Source organism: Homo sapiens, chromosome 4 (genome assembly GCF_000001405.40).
Source record: "Homo sapiens chromosome 4, GRCh38.p14 Primary Assembly".
In the NCBI taxonomy this organism is placed as follows: Eukaryota; Metazoa; Chordata; class Mammalia; order Primates; family Hominidae; genus Homo; species Homo sapiens.
The window spans coordinates 70,690,827-70,707,488 of NC_000004.12; the positions used below are offsets into that span (position 1 = coordinate 70,690,827).

General features: G+C 43.9%; 1 protein-coding gene and 2 pseudogenes across 12 annotated transcripts in view, besides 4 other annotated features; 2 read left to right on the forward strand and 1 right to left on the reverse strand.

Annotated features, from left to right (window-relative positions):
• On the forward strand, nt 10,929-11,032 carry RNU6-520P (RNA, U6 small nuclear 520, pseudogene; annotated as a pseudogene).
• Nucleotides 12,192-12,297, reverse strand: RNU6-784P (RNA, U6 small nuclear 784, pseudogene; annotated as a pseudogene).
• The window catches only part of RUFY3 (RUN and FYVE domain containing 3), a 104,853-nt gene continuing 101,131 nt past the window's right edge, over nt 12,941-16,662 (forward strand). For 11 of the 12 annotated variants that reach the window (XR_007096385.1, XR_007096384.1, XR_938709.4 and 8 more), the window contains exon 1: nt 13,913-14,468. Coding sequence is in view for 8 of the 12 variants with exons in the window: in XM_047449825.1 (XP_047305781.1) it covers nt 14,111-14,468 (358 nt within the window). In the remaining 4 variants the exon portion in view is untranslated. Of the gene's footprint in view, nt 13,523-13,912; nt 14,469-16,662 lie in introns of those variants that run through there. The other variant, XM_011531750.3, reaches the window with a different exon arrangement.
• Nucleotides 13,489-14,021: an enhancer, noted in NCBI's record as "H3K27ac hESC enhancer chr4:71570032-71570564 (GRCh37/hg19 assembly coordinates)". NCBI's record gives its function as "activates a minimal SCP1, AML or CMV promoter by ChIP-STARR-seq in primed H9 embryonic stem cells {active_cell/tissue: H9 hESC(primed)}" and the evidence as "EXISTENCE:reporter gene assay evidence [ECO:0000049][PMID:30033119]".
• Nucleotides 13,489-15,086: a biological region, named in NCBI's record as "H3K27ac hESC enhancers GRCh37_chr4:71570032-71570564 and GRCh37_chr4:71571098-71571629".
• Nucleotides 13,766-14,925: a silencer, noted in NCBI's record as "silent region_15468". NCBI's record gives its function as "represses an Ori minimal core promoter by ATAC-STARR-seq in GM12878 lymphoblastoid cells {active_cell/tissue: GM12878}" and the evidence as "EXISTENCE:reporter gene assay evidence [ECO:0000049][PMID:35858748]".
• Nucleotides 14,555-15,086: an enhancer, noted in NCBI's record as "H3K27ac hESC enhancer chr4:71571098-71571629 (GRCh37/hg19 assembly coordinates)". NCBI's record gives its function as "activates a minimal SCP1, AML or CMV promoter by ChIP-STARR-seq in naive H9 embryonic stem cells {active_cell/tissue: H9 hESC(naive)}" and the evidence as "EXISTENCE:reporter gene assay evidence [ECO:0000049][PMID:30033119]".

Genomic DNA, 16,662 nt, shown 5'->3' on the forward strand with positions numbered 1-16,662 from the left:
TTTTCGAGATTGAAGTCTCACTCTGTAGCCCAGGCTGGAGTGCAGTGGCAGGATCTCTCAGCTCACTGCAACCTCCACCTCCCGGGTTCAAGCGATTCTCCTGCCTCAGCCTCCTGAGTAGCTGGGATTACAGGTGCTTGCCACCACGCCCAGCTAATTTTTGTATTGCTAGTTGAGACAGGGTTTCACCATTTTGGCCAGGCTGGTCTCGACCTCCTGACCTCAAGTGATCTGCCCGCCTCGGCCTCCCAAAGTGCTGGGATTACAAGTGTGAGCCACCACGCCCAGCTCAATGTTCCATTTTTCTTTTCTTTTTTTTTTTTAATTATACTTTAAGTTTTAGGGTACATGTGCCCAACGTGCAGGTTAGCTACATATATATACATGTGCCATGTTGGTGTGCTGCACCCCGTAACTCGTCATTTAACATTAGCCATTTTTCTTTGCTGCTACACTGGTCTTTAAATAGGGGGAAGATGTTGAGGTGGTAAATGTAAAAATAGGATGTTGCCAGGGAAGAAAATGAGAGGACTAGTGAAGGAAACCACAAAAAAAAGTCCTAATTTCCTAATTGTGTCACTGTTTATTCAGTAAACACTGTGCTAGCTGCTAGAGATGCAGAGATGACGCTTGGTTAATATTTATGGAACACTTGCCATGTGCTAGTTGTACATCACCTCATTTAATCTTTACAATAACTTTGCAAGGTGATACTGTGCTCCACAGATGAGGATGCTGAAATTTTGGAAGGTTGACTTTCTAAAGGACATCTGCTTGAAATCTGAACCCAAACCAACTTGAGCATTCATTCTCTTAACCTCTGGCTTACAGCTGCTTCCTCAGAGTAGCACACAGGACAAATTATTTTGTTTCCTTATAAATAAAAGAGGTAGGTTGGAAATAGAAATAACAGTGCTTACTAAGGTAACTTTCCGAGCACTTTGTGCTTATTTCCTTATTTCTCATAACCTTATGTGGTAAATTCTGTTATCCATATTTTGAAAATAAGGAAACTGGCAAAGAGAAGTAACTTTCTCAGGGTCACACAGCTATTAAGTGGCAGAGCCAGGATTTCAACCCAGCCTTTATGGCTTCAGAACCCAATTCTATACTTCCTTTTTTTTTTTTTTTTTGATATAATAGAAAAAATACAGGTTTTGGAGTTAACAGGATGATTTTCAGTTAATCTCTGAGTTTCATTTTCTTCATCTGTATGAGTCTCTGTTATTATACCTACCTCAGAGAAGCCATAAGTCAGTGGTTAAGAACAGACTGTAGTTAGACTGCCGGGTTGGATCTTTTGCAGGGGGTTTGTTTGTTTTTTGTTTTTTGTTTTTTTTTTTGAGACAGAGTCTCAGTCTGTCGCCCAGGCTTGAGTGCAGTGGTGTGATCTCAGCTCACTGCAACCTCAACCTCCTAGGTTCAAGCAATTCTGCCTCTCAGCCTGCGGAGTAGCTGAGACTACAGTCCCAGTCGAACTCCTGGCCTCAAGCGATCCACCCGCTCCTGGCCATTTTTTGGTGTTTTTTTTGTTTGTTTGTTTGTTTGTTTTTGAGATGGAGCCTTTCTCTGTCACCCAGGCTAGAGTGCAGTGGCACAATCTAGGCTCACTGCAACCTCTGCCTCCCAGGTTCAAGTGATTCTCCTACCTCAGCCTCCCGAGTAGCTGGGATTACAGGTGTATACCACCACACCCAGGTAATTTTTGTATTTTTAGTAGAGATGGGGTTTCACTGTGTTGGCCAGACTGGTCTTGAACTCCTGACCTCAGGTAATCCACCCACCTCAGCCTCCCAAAGTGCTGGGATTACAGGCGAGAGCCACCACCCCCAGCCGCATCTTTCAAAATTTGTTATGTATATTTAACAAACATTTAAAGAGCACTGAGATGTGCTGGGTACTGTCATTTGTACATGAATAAGTTGTTAACCAATGTGATAATCTTTTTTTGTAAAAACTCACTTTGTGAAGACTGGAGAGCTTCATGGGTAAGAGTTCCAATAAAGTACATTACTGGTAGCAGGCATCAGTACAAAGCATCAACAACCTGTTAGTTTTATGGCAGTATATTAAACTATAGACAGCTATGAAAAATACAAAATATTAAAAATTAAAGTAGAAGAAAACATCAAATTAGTGATCCACTAAATAGCTAGTGATGCATTTACTCTGCCACTAATCAGCTGACTGGCTTTGGGCCAATTTCTCTAAGCCAGTTTCTTACCTATATTCTTACCTATGAAGAAGTTAAATAAGATCAACATGCCACTTTAATTTTTGTGTAGAAGTAAATTTTATTCGCTTCTCAGACCTCTAAGAACTACCTAATGGTCAAAGTTTTTGGCAAACTGGAAAATTACTTTTTGTGATCTAAAAGATAAAATCTAGCTTAGATAACTTGAATAATTAATTTGATTCACGTATCTTACACAAAATATTTGATATATCTGAGGAATGGCTGGAGTTGCTATGAAATAAAATAATTTTAAGTTAACGTGTTAAATTATACAAGTTAACATTACCAGAATAATTCAAGAAAAGTGGAACTTAGTATGCTTTACATCTTGGAGATCACAATGATGAACAGGTACTGAACAGGAACACTGAATTATAGATGTTACCAAAAAAAATCATGTTTCTAACTAGAATTTAAAATCACACTGGGCCGGGCGCGGTGGCTGATGCCTGTAATCCCAGCACTTTGGGAGGCTGAGGCAGGCAGATCACAAGGTCAGGAGTTCAAGACCAACGTGGCCAACATGGTGAAACCCCATCTCTACTAAAAATACAAAAATTAGCCAGGCGTGATGGCCCACGCCTGTAGTCCCAGCTACTCAGGAGACCAAGGCAGGAGAATCGCTTGAACCCGGGCGGCAGAGGTTGTGGTGAGCTGAGATCGTACCACTGCACTCCAGCCTGGGCAACAGAGCAAGACTGTCTCAAACAACAACAACAAAAATCACACTGAAAAAAAAAGCTGCTTCAGCTAATCAGATTGTATTTTTTATTCTTAAAAACAAAATTATAATTTGCCTTTGAAAGTTTAAAAAACAGAAACAGGCAGAGTACAGTGACTCATGCCTGTAATTCCAGCACGGCAGGAGGCTCAGGCAGGCAGATCACTTGAGGTCAGGAGTTCGAGACCAGCCTGGTCAACATGGCAAAACCCCATCTCTACTGAAAAAAAAAAAATCAGCCGGGCATGGTGGTGCACTCCTGTAGTCCCAGCTACTCAGGAGGCTGAAGCAGGAGAATCACTTGAAACTGGGAGGGAGAGGTTGCAGTGAGCACTCAAGCCTGGGCAAGAGTAAGACTACGTCTCAAAAATAGAAAAAAACAGTATAGAACCTTTATACCCCCCCCCATCAACAAATATTAGTCTGTATTTTTTCATTTTGTTTAAGATATATTTTCTCATAGCTGAGTTTTTAATTGGTAGTTACTTTAGCTATGTATTCCAGATGATATATTTTGATTCTTTCAGCTATTCTTAAAAAATAAAACCAGTGATTTTACATTTGCTACAAAGTGAAGTTTTAAATGATAGCAAATATCAAGAATCAACATTTGTTAAACTACAAAACAAAAAGACCTGGAGGAAACTAGTAAAATGTTCTGCTTTAAGAAAGCCAATAGGGCCGGGCGTGGTGGCTCACGTCTGTAATCCAGCACTTTGGGAGGTTGAGGCGGGTGGATCACCTGAGGTCGGGAGTTCAAGACCAGCCTGACCAACATGGAGAAACCCCCATCTCTACTAAAAATACAAAATTAGCCGAGCGTGGTGATGCATGCCTGTAATCTCGGCTACTCAGGAGGCTGAGGCAGGAGAATCGCTTGAACCCGGGAGGCAGAGGTTGCGGTGAGCCGAGATTGCTCCATTGCACTCCAGCCTGGGCAACAAGAGTGAAACGCTGTCTCAAAAAAAAAAAAAAAAAAAAAAAAAAAGGCAATAAAGGGAAGTGATTGGGAAGAGTTTGGCCTCCAGAGCCAGATTGAGTTCAAAGTCCTGTTTCACCCACTTACCATGTGTCTTTGGTCTACTTAACCTCTCTGTACTGCAATTTCTTCACATTGAATAATATATAATAGTTAATAGTTTAAATGGTTAATCATGTAACATCAATTTAGAAGAACACTTGACAGGTAGTAAGTGCTTCATGTTCGTTACTATTTTTTTTAATCCAGTTTTAAAAAACTGGCTGGGCGCGGTGGCTCATGCCTGTAATCCAGGCACTTTGGGAGGCCGAGGTGGGTGGATTAACTGAGGTCGGGAGTTTGAGACCAGTCTGACCAACATGGAGAAACCCCGTCTTTACTAAAAATACAAAATTAGCCGGGCATGGTGGCGCATGCCTGTAATCCCAGCTACTCCAGAGGCTGAGGCAGGAGAATTGCTTGAACCCGGGAGGTAGAGATTGCGGTGAGCCGAGATTGCACCATTGCACTCCAGCCTGGGCAACAAGAGCAAAACTCCGTCTCAAAAAAAAAAAAAAAAAAAAAAAAACTAATTTAGCCAGGTGTGGTAGCTCACACCTATAATCCCAGCACTTTGAGAGGCTCAGATAGGAGAACTGCTTGAACCCAGGTGTTCAAGACCAACCTGGGCCACATAAAACATTAAAAAAATTAGCTGGGCATGGTACCACACGTGCCTGTAGTAACAGCTTCTTGGGAGGCTGAGGTGGGAGGACTGCCTGTGCCTGAGGAGGTGGAGGCTGCAGTGAGGCATGATGGCCCCACTACACTCCAGCCTGGGCTGCAGAGTGAGACCCGGTCTTAAAAAGCGAATTTACTCCACTTGAATGAGTTAATTTCTCTTAGGTTCTACCATAATGGTTCTTTTGTTTGTTTGTTTTTGTTTTTGAGACGGAGTCTCGCTCTGTGGCCCAGGCTGGAGTTCAGCGGCGCAGTCTCGGCTCACTGCAACCTCCACCTCATGGGTTCAAGTGATTCTCCTGCCTCAGCCTCCTGAGTGGCTGGGACTACAGGCGCCTGCCACCACACCCAGCTGATTTTTGTATTTTTAGTAGGAACAGGGTTTCACCGTGTTAGCCAGGATGGTCTCGATCTCCTGACGTTGTGATCTGCCTGCCTCGGCCTCCCAAAGTGCTGGGATTACAGGCGTGAGCCACCGTGCCCGGCCAACCATAATGGTTCTTAAACCAGAATGTCCAAGGATCAGTTGGTAAGTTTAAAGTACAGATTCCTGTGCCCTACCTGCACAGATTCTGATTCAACTCTCCTGGTGTTGGATCCAGTCATCTCTGTTTTAACAGGCATGCAACATGATTCTGATCCAAATGGTCTACAGAATATGTTTTGAGAAACACTGCTCTGGGTTTCTCTCAGCTAATAACATTAGGCATATGAATGAAGTTAATTACAAGAGTGAAATATGATGTGGCATTACCATGGGACTACTTCTTGAGAATCTTGAAAACAGTAGGCCTCCCCTCACCCCACCCCAGAACCATAGCACAGTCCTAATCACATTTTGCATATGACAGTGGGTTCCTGGACTCCCTGAAGCCAGGAGTCCATAGACCTCAGTTACAAAACTTTATGCTAGCCTGGGTGTGGTGGCTCACGCCTGTAATCCCAGCACTTTGGGAGGCCGAGGAGGGCAGATCACGAAATCAGGAGATCAAGACCATCCTGGCCAACATGGTGAAACCCCACCTCTACTAAAAATACAGAAATTAGCTGGGCGTGGTGGTGCACTCCTGTAATCTCAGCTACTCAGGAGGTTGAGGCAGGAGAATCACTTGAACCCGGGAGGCAGAGGTTGCAGTGAGCCGAGATCGTGCCACTGCACTCCAGCCTGGCGACAGAGTGAGACTCCATCTGAAAAAATAAGAAAACTTAATGCTAGAAGGGCTGTACCTTTTACCCTTGTGCATTGTTTTATATGGCCTGTTTTAATACATATAATAGACAATTTTGCCATGGTGGGGTGAGGATTATTCAAATTAAGTAGATGGCAGAATTTAATTAGCACCTAAAATTTTTTCACATTTATTAAATGACCTCTTTTAGACATACTTATATTTCTATTCACACCACACTTGAACATACATAAAAAGGGAAATATAAATGTAAGCTAAATAAGTTATTCCTTAAGCTTCTTATTCAGTCCAGTTTTTTTGAATTGCTTTTATTCGGATACCTGATGGTCACAGATAGAAAAAAAGAATTTTGATGTGATCTTAAGAGGAAAGGGTCTTAAAAATAAGTGAGGCTGGGCGTAGTAGCTCACGCCTGTAAACTCAGAATTTTAGGAGGCCAAGGTGGGCAAATCACTTGAGCACATGAGTTCGAGACCAGCTTGGGCAACAGGGTGAAACTCCATCTCTACTAAAAATACAAAAATTAGCTGGGCATGGTGGTGTGCGCCTGTGGTCCCAGCTAGTGGTGAGGCTGAGGTGGGAGGATCACTTGAGCCTGGGAGGTCAAGGCTGCAGTGAGCCATGATTGTGCCACTACCTGGGTGACAGTGAGGCCATGTCTCAAAAAAATAAAAAATAAGTGAGAGGGACTGATAACTACTTAGGAATAGTACAAGGAACAAATAGTACAAAAAATAAATCTTTTATGCATTGTAAAAAGAGGAAAAAACGATGCTAAATTTGGGAAGAGGCATAAATTCATTACAATTAAAACAATTAACTGCTTAAATAGGGTACTATGAGACCTCAAAAATGGCATGTACCTTTCTACATGGGGAGAGCAGAAAAAGTATCACAGCTTTGTTTGAGTAGAGTTTGGGAGAGGAAGAACGGGTACCGCAATATGAGTAATGGCAAACATGTTAAAGCTTAGTCAAAGGCAACAAGGGGTAAGACAAGATAGGAGGATAATATTGGAAAGATAGGAAGGGGTTAGATCATGAAAGACCTTACTAGGTAGTTAATGCATTTAGATTGTATCCCACACATAAAGAAGTGAACCCAGGTTTTTAAGAAATGTTGTGGCATAATTAGGTGAACGTTCAGAAAAGTAAATTACTCATTCTAGCTGCTGTAGAGCAGGGCAACTGGAATAGATTAAAACCAGAGGCAGGGAAACCAATGAGGAGTCCTTTGCAATAATAACTGGCAAGAAAAGATGAAGCTTTAACGCAGAGGACAGGCCGGGCACAGTAACTCACGCCTGTAATCCCAGCACTTTGGGAGGCCATGGCAGGTGGATCATTTGAGGTCAGGAGTTCAAGACCAGCCTGACCCGTATGATGAAACCCCATCTCCATTAAAAATACAAAAATTAGCCGGACATGGTGGTGCACGCCTGTAATCCCAGCTACTCTGGAGGCTGAGGCAGGAGAATTGCTTTAACCCAGAAGGTGGAGGTTGCAGTGAGCCGAGATCACACTACTGCACTCCAGCCTGGGCAACAAGAGCAAAGCTCTGTCTCAAAAAAAAAAAAAGAAGGAGAAGAAGAACCAGAAAGAGAGAGCATGAGAATTACTGGATACATTCATAGAAATCTTCAGCAACATCATTATTATCATTATTATTATTTTGAGATGAAGTCTCTCTCTGTCACCCAGGCTGGAGTGCAGTGGCGCGATCTTGGCTCACTGCAACCTTCGCCTCCCGGGTTCAAGTGATTCTCCTGCCTCAGCCTCCCGAGTATCTGGAACTACAGGCACACACCACCATGCGCGGCTAATTTTTTTTTTTGTATTTTTAGTAGAGACAGGGTTTCACCATGTTGGCCAGGCTCGTCTCAAACTCCTGACCTTGTGAACTGCCCACCTCGGCCTCCCAAAGTGCTGGGATTACAGGCCTGAGTCACCGCGCCCGGCCAGCAACATTATTAAGATAAACACTAGCTGGGCCTGCTGGCTCACACCTGTAATCTCAGCTACACTGGAGGCTGAATTGTCTCTGGAGTCTCTTTAGACCTGTGAAGCAATGTATTGTCAGTGATATAGAACTAGGAGAAGTCTTCTTTCTTCAGTTCTCTGATTCATAATACTAGAAATAATTGACCTTTAAGTATGACATTATTATAAACTAAATATTTCCATTTATGTCCAAGGACATTATTTTAATTAGAAATCTGATAGTAAGGATCATCTCAACTTTTGGCAAAGGAAATTGTATGTAGTAGGAACTTGAGTAGGGTTTCCATCAATGTTTAGGTTATTTGAATATTGTTCTTGAATATTGTTTTTGAATATCTGGACTAACTCTGGAGGCTGAGGTGGGAGGATTGCTTGAAGCCAGGAGTTCAACTGCAGCCTGGGCAACATAGTGAAACCCTCCATCTCTAAAATAATAATAATAAACACTCAAAAAAGACACAAATATGATCAGCTCCTCTTGAACCCTATTTCTCCACAGTATATACAAGGAACACAACTTTGCTGTTAGGTCTTCATAAAAAATATATAATTATGAAACTATGAATTAAAATAACCCCTCAATGTGTTTTATTTTCTATTTAAAAGCAATGCAGCCATTACAGACTACTTACAAATACAGAAAAGTAGAAAAATGGAAAAATGTATCCATATGTCTGCACCCAAAGAAAACTATCGATTGACCTAAATATATTACCTTTATTTTTTTCTTCATCCCACTCAAGGTAGATAAATATATTGTTTTTACTTCTTAAGAGTATCTATAATATATATAGAGAGGAGATATAAATTGACTAGGTATATATATATATGTATATATATGTGGGTGTGTGTGTGTGTATATATATATATATTTTTGTATGTGTATGTGTGTGTGTGTGTGTGTGTGTATATATATATATATATATATATATATTTTTTTTTTTTTTTTTTTTTTAGACAGAGTCTTGCTCTGTCGCCCAGGCTGGAGTGCAGTGGCACGATCTCAGCTCACTGCAACCTCCGCCTCCCAGGTTCAAGCGATTCTCCTGCCTCAGCCTCCTGAGTAGCTGGGATTACAGGCACCCGCCACCATGACAGGCTAATTTTTTTGTATTTTTAGTAAAGATGGGGTTTTGCCATGTAGCCAGGCTGGTCTCGAACTTCTGACCTCAGGTGATCCACCCACCTCAGCCTCCCAAAGTGCTGGGATTACAGGTGTGAGCCACTGCACCTGGCCTTAAATATATATTTTTAAATTTTTCATTATTTTATCCCCACACTATAATGTTGTAACTAGGTGTTTTTATAATGACTGTTTTGAAAAAATAAGTCATTAAGTTACAGTCATCAAAATCTAGTAATTCTGAACAATGGACTCAGAGCTTTCACAATAAGGCATTATATTAATTAGTATCAATACATTTCTACATTTATTAAAATAAGTTTAACACAAAGGCTTAAATTGAGTACACTTTTCAACTATGATGTTTCCCAAGTGCCATACAATGTAAAATAAACAGCTCAAGAAAACCATTATTTTAAAATCATAATAAATCTATATACTATACTGAAAAAGAGTATCAACACTTCTCAAGTGGTATCTTCCCTTTTTTTTTTTTTTTGCCTCTTTTTTTGAGACAGATTCTCGCTCTGTCGCCCAGGCTGGAGCGCAGTGGCACGATTTCGGCTCACTGCAACCTCCACCTCCTGGGTTCAAGCAATTCTCCTGCCTCAACCTCCCGAATAGCTGGGACTACAGGTGCGTGCCAACACACCCGGCTAATTTTTGTATTTTTAGTAGAGATGGGCGGTTTCACCATGTTGGCCAGGCCTCATGGTGAAACCTCCATGGTTTTGAACCAGGAGTTTTGAACTCCTGGCCTCAAGTGATCTGCCCGTCTTAGCCTCCCAAAATGCTGGGATTATAGGCATGAGCCACCACGCCCGGCTAAGACAAGTACATAACTAGTCTTAACACAATGGAGAAAATGTTTAGAAATCCCTAACATAGGAAGAGTTGAGAGATTATTAGATGTTCATGGAAAGAAGTATATCAGAGAAGACAGCCCAGAGAAGACAATCTTAGCTGGGCCTCAGCCTCCCAAAGTGCTGGGATTACAGACATGAGCAACGGCGCCCGGCCTCAAGTGGTATCTTCTCTGCTTCACAGCTCTTGTGGGGTTTTTTGTTTGGTATTTTTTGTAGAGCTGGCATTTTGCCATTTGCCATGTTGGCCAGGCTAGTCTTGAACTCCTGGCCTTAAGTGATCTGCCTGCCTCGGCCTCCCAAAGTGCTGGGATTATAGGCGTGAGCCACCACACCTGGTCTGATTCACAGCTCTTAAGAAGTTTATACTGTACTAAAAATATATTCTTGTCCATAACATTGATCTTTAAAAAGTTTTAAAATATATTTTTAAGTATCTATCTGTAAGATCACCAAAGGATTTTTTGTTTGTTTGTTTTTTTGAGACAGAGTCTCGCACTGTCACCCGAGCTGGAGTGTAGTGGCGCGATCTCGGCTCACTGCAACCTCTGCCTCCCCAGGTTCAAGCGATTCTGCTGCCTCAGTCTTACAGGCGTGAGCCACCGCACCCAGCCCACCAAAGGATTTTTTAAAAACCAAACATGGATAACTAAAAATAAAATGCAGATAAAGTTGAAAATCACCTCCTGCTTTATTTCACAAGAAAATTAATAGAGCTCGATTCTTAATTATAGTGCTTGGATGTTGTCACTTTAAAACAGTATAGGGAGATGCTCTGTGCATTCTCAAGAAGGAGCAACATGTTTAGGCTTGTTTTTATAATCTTGGCTTCCTTAAATGTGTATAGCAGCTGAATCAGCCCTTTATGTCACTAAAGCTAATGCAGAACTGTGATTGTATTATTGATTCAAAAGCTAAAAGCATTAAGAAACTAGGAACTTGGAGTACCATCCACCTTTAAAGAAAAAGTTCATAAATAGCCTTGTCTATAAATTGTAAGAACTCATATTTCAGTTGATTTTTCTGTATTAATTTTACTGCCATTTAATTAATTACATAAAACATAAATAGAACTCTTTTTAAAAATAGAGGCACAGTGATCTCTTCAGCAGCACATATACTAAAATTGGAATGATACAGAGATTAGCATGGTTCCCGTACAAGGATGATACACAAATTTGTGAAGTGTTCTATATTTTTACAAAAAACTTTTTAAAAATAGAGGCACAAAAATCCAATACACTGAATGATTTCACAGCATGTCAATGTTTCTATACCTGTAGGTATCTTGACTAACAAGAAAGGAGAAAGCTGGCAATTCAGACTAGATAATGTTTCATATTTTAACTTGGTGACTCCCTTGGTTGATTATTGGCCTTTCTCAAGAATCATCTGTGAGGACTCTGCTCTCATTTCTTCTACCTACAGTGGTTAAGTGTAGATTATTGTCAAATTCTTTACCAAAACATTGCAAAACATCTCTGTGAAGGACCCTGATGAGAATATAATATTTTGGAATTTCTGCATGTAAAAACAAGATAAAGGATCCAGTTAAGGATGAGTGTTAAAACCATATAATACATCTCAATCAGTTTTTCTTTTTTTAAAATTATACTTTAAGTTCTGGGATACATGTGCAGAACGTGCAGGTTTGTTACATGGGTATACATGTGCCATGGTGGTTTGCTGCACTCATTAACCCATCAGCTACATTAGGTATTTCTTCTAATGCTTCCCCTCCCCTTACCCCCACTACCCCACAGGCCCCGGTGTGTGATGTTCCCCTCCCTGTGTCCATGTGTTCTCACTGTTCAACTCCCACTTAAGAGTGAGAACATGCGGTGTTTGCTTTTCTGTTCCTGTGTTAGTTTGCTGAGAATGATGGCTTCCAGCTTCATCCATGTCCCTGCAAAAGACCTGAACTCACTCTTTTTTATGGCTGCATAATTCCATAGCGTATATGTGCCACATTTTCTTTATCCAGTCTATCATTGATAGGCATTTGGGTTGGTTCCAAGTCTTTGCTATTGTAAATAGTGCTGCAATAAACATACGTGTGCATGTGTCTTTATAGTAGAATGATTTATAGTCCTTTGGGTATATACCCAGTTAATGAGATTGCTGGGTCAAATGCTTTCAGTTTTTCTTATGAAGGTATCATGCAGTTAGCAATTCCTAAAAGACAAATATGTCTTCCTGTTGAGATTCTCACCAGCACCAAGAGTTAAGGCCCAAACCACCTTCAAAATGCTAAGGATATAATGAAAAGGCTTTTTTTCCCCAACTCAGTATGTTTTTATTATTGTAAGTTAAATGTTATTTTGCCAAAATGATAAAATATCCCTAATAATAATTATTTTTTAATATGGAACACTTCACAAATTTGCAGGTCATTCTCGTGCAGGGAAATGTTAATCTTTTCTGTATCGTTCCAATTTTAGTTTATGTGCTGCTGAAGTGAGTACTACTAATAATTATTGATTTATGTATTTATTTGAGATGAAGTTTTGCTCTTATTGCCCAAGCTAAAGTGCAGTGGTGCTATCTCGGCTCACTGCAACCTCTGCCTTCTGGTTTCAAGCGATTCTCCTGCCTCAGTCTCCCAAGTAGCTGGGATTACAGGCACTCGCCACCACGCCCAGCTAATTTTTTTGTATTTTAAGTAGAGACGGGGTTTCCCCTTTTTGGTCAGGCTGGTCTCGAACTGCTGACCTCGTGATCCACCCGCCTCGGCCTCCCAAAGTGCTGGGATTACAGGCGTGAGCCACCGCACCTGGCCGTAATAATTATTATTTACCCCAATGTTAAGTTGTATTTTAAACGCTTTATTTCTATTTCTTATTTAGCCCTCACAGTATCTATGAATAACATAATCATTTTACAGAGCTGGACAAATAACTTACTCAAATAGGTAGTAGGACTGGGATCAACAGGTCAGGGAAATGCCAGAAACCGAAAAGCTAAGAAATTTTCTAAGACTGAAGCTATCCTGTAAACATTTCCCTTTTGAATGCTTCTTGTTAAAAGACTCAGTGAAAAGTAGTATTGTAAGTCTCATGGTAATTGCGAGTAGTAATTTCAAAAGTGATTTACAGAGAATAACAACAGTAATAAAAATGTTTACTTTTCCTTTCAAAGAAGTACAACTTCCTCTACACAGGGAAGGGCTGAACAGAGAAGAGGAAAAAGCAGGTGGGCAAAATGTTACACAACAGTGATTTTTAATTATGAGTCAACATGGCTTCTATGCCAGCATTAAACACAAGGCTAATCAGCTAGGAATCCAGGATAAAGAACCATGAGAGTAACTGGAAATTGTCTTTATTGCCGAAAGAAATGTTTACTTAAGGGAATTACTGGATCAGTAATCATTGATTCGAATTCTCAAAGCAACGGTGGCTAATTACTAGCGAGACACGGGCACTGTGAAAGAGAAAACTGTCGACCTGTAATTGACATTTGTCGTATAAATTCTAAGCTGTTTGATTTAAAATGCACTCATGCGCACCCGCGGCACTAGAAAACCAGGGAATTAAAGTCAAAGCAAATACAGGATTTCAGTACAGCGCACAAGACGGGAACAAAAGAGGTGGTGGAAGGAAGACACCCACCTTTGGTTTCTCACATAAAGAGCTCAATACTCCAAACAGTGAATCAACGGTTGAAGTTGCAGTGTGTGAAAGGCAAATGGTACAGTTTAATACCCGGGGGCAGGGAGGTGCTTTTTTAAAATTAGCTTTCGCCTCTTCTTCAACCCAGATCTTTGTGCCTTCGTGCTACCGATAAAGTTGGCGGTTACACGACAAAACGCCGCCAGGTATTTCGCCAGGTCTTCCACTTTTCAAGCACTAGACACACCTGACCGCCTTACAGGGCCCAGCGGGGGCGGGTAAGGAAGAGGCCCAGGGCCCGAGGGTCGGGAGGCAGTCAGCCCAGCCGGAGGGAAGCGGAAGGTGGGGAGTGGGAAGAGGAGGACGCTGCCCCCTAGGGGAGCCGAGTCACAGGCTGGGGGCCGGGGCGGGAGGGGCTGGAGGAGGCGGCCGGTAGCGAGGCCGCGCCGTCGGGCGGGGCGGTCCCTCCAGCTGGCTTGGACCCTGGCGGGGCGGGCTGTGGGCCGAGCGGCGGAGCCCAGGCGCCAGCCCGTGGCCGAGAAGAAAGGTGGCGGTGGCGGCGGCGGCGCAGCGGACGGGACGGGGCGGCGGCTCCTCGCCCTGACCCTCTGCTCCCCCGCCCAGGCCCGGGCGCGAATCGGAGGCTGCGGCGAAGGAAGGAGTGAGCATGGCTGAGACCCCGCCGCCGCCCACCGCTGGTGCCGAAAGTTGCAGCGAGGAGCCGGCGAGGGGCGGGGAGTGGCGGCCGGAGGAGCCGCGCCGCGCTCCCGCCGGGGGCACGGACCGAGAGGGCGAGGCGGGGCCGCCGCCGGCCTCCCCCGCCGGGCAGTCGGAGCCCGACTCGCCGGTGGCCGCCCCCTTCTTCCTGCTGTACCCCGGCGATGGAGGCGCCGGCTTCGGAGTGCGCCCGCCGCCGCAGCAGCAGCGCTCCTGGAGGACCCCGCCGTCCCCCGGCTCACCGCTGCCCTTCCTGCTGCTGAGCTACCCGAGCGGCGGCGGCGGCAGCAGCGGCAGCGGCAAGCACCGTGAGTGGCGGAGGGGCATGGGGACGCCCGCGGGGAAGGGAGCATTCGGCTGGGGAGGGCCGGCCCGGCCCCCGCGGAGCTCCGCCTCCCGCGGGGTGACCCGAGCCGGGTGGCCGGGAGGCGGGGGCTTTAGGGGCTACCCTCGGGAAGCTGTTCTCCCGAGGCGCCCGGTGAGGAGGCAGCGGGACGACCGCGGTTCGGGCGCCGGATTCTACCTCCGCGTCTCCCCAGGCCGCGGCTCCTGCCTGGCCTGGTCTCTCTCCCGTCTTGGGCTGGGCGCTGGTCTTCGCCGGCCTCCCACGTGCTTGGGCGGGGGCGAGAAGCGGCCTGCCTGCCCCCCTCCACCCGGGGCGCCCTGGCCCTGTCCCGGGTCCCGGGCTGGGAACCTTCCCCGAAGGAGTCTAAGAGGGGGCGGCGCCCGGAGACCCCGTGGCCCCTCTGACCCGCCTTTTTCGGGCTCCCGGCGCCGCGGCAGCTGAGTAGGTGTGGCTGCTGCGCCGCCGCCGCCGCCAGTGCGGCCTTAGTAATACTAGTAACTAATTTTTTACGAGCGTTCCTTCCATGCCGGTAAATATGACAGATCCGTCCCCCGGATTGGAAAGAGAAATCGGAGCGGTGCATGAGAAGACAAGAAGGGAATGTGTGGCTTTGGAAGGCTACCTCCCAGGGTTATATCGGTTGTCGGGAAGAGGCCTCCACTTTTAAAGCCACTGGCACACGCGAGCGCTCTGAATGCAGCTGACCCACACTCCGTGCTGTATTTTTTATTAGTGAACTGTTTACTGTGCTGGCAAACGAGTAGGGCCCTAGAGTCGTCAATGAATATAAGGACTCTTAGAGGAATGTTAAATCTGATTTTCAAATACAAGCTCTTACAGTATGAAAATGTGGCTGACGATACAAGGCATGCTGTAAGCGCCAAATACTTTGCTGTATGAGTTCTGGAAAGGGAGACAGAAACTTGCCTGAAGCGATGAGGGAAGGACCTTTCCCACCATACACCCTATATTTTTAAAGCACAAGTACAAATCTTTTAGCTGCTCTGCCCTGCCAAGAAACCCTGACTCACCTTTTCTGCCCCGATCCATCTCCTAGGAAAAGATAATATTTATTGATTATTTCCTATGTGCATGTGTTGTGATAATCATGGTTAATAAGTTTGTGTGCGCCAAACTGAATGCCACTTTTTCAGATGCGGAAGCTCGATTTATCCCAAGTAACAGCTTAAGAGAAGGAATGCAGTTGACCCAGATTGCTTTTCTGCTAAACCCATGCTCTTTAAATCTAACAAGAGATCCAAAACTGTGATGGTGGGTGACAGGTTAACAGGAAGGGTCTATGTGATTCAGCTGGAGGTTGCCCAGTGTTCACACCTCCTTATTACTTACTGAGTAATAAGTCAGTGGGCAGACACTGACCATTGACTGTCTTAGTGAAGCCATAGTTTGTGTGTTGGAGTGGTCTGCACTAATGTGCAGATGGATTGTCAGCTCATGGCAGAAGTGAGTCTTCCTATACAGAGGAGGCAAAGATAAGAATCTTCTCAAGGAGACTTTGCTTTTGTTTTCTGAGGAATCCTTCTACTTTGTACTTTAAACACCGCCTCTTTTTTTGTTTGCACCAAAAATGTTTTCTTTCTGTGTAATCTACATATTAAGCATGCTACTATAGAAAGAAGACTGTCATTTCTCTGTAACAGTTATGGTACAAGGTTTGATGTAGAGGAACTTTTCAACTATTGAACAGTATCAATTGTGGGAATTACCTGAATTTCAGTTGACTGGACTCCCTCATTGTTAAAGGTTATCTTTATGTTATTAATTATTGTAGAAAATAACAGTATTTTGTTACTCTTATCAGTTAATACTGTTGCTTAAGCATGATCAAGATCGGGACTAGAGGACTTAAAGCTAAAGTTTCATGAGCGTGATCTCAGTCTCTACCTTAGGATACTAGCAAATGTATGGTGTTTTTTTGTTTTTGAGACGGAGTCTCGCTCTGTCGCCCAGGCTGGAGTGCAGTGGCATGACCTCTGCTCACTGCAACCTCCGCCTCCCGATTTCAAACGATTCTCCTGCCTCAGCCTCCTGAGTAGCTGGGATTACAGGCACCTACCATTTTTAGTATTTTTAGTAGAGACGAGGTTTCACCATGTTGGCCAGGCTGTTATCGAACTCCTGACCTCAAATGATCC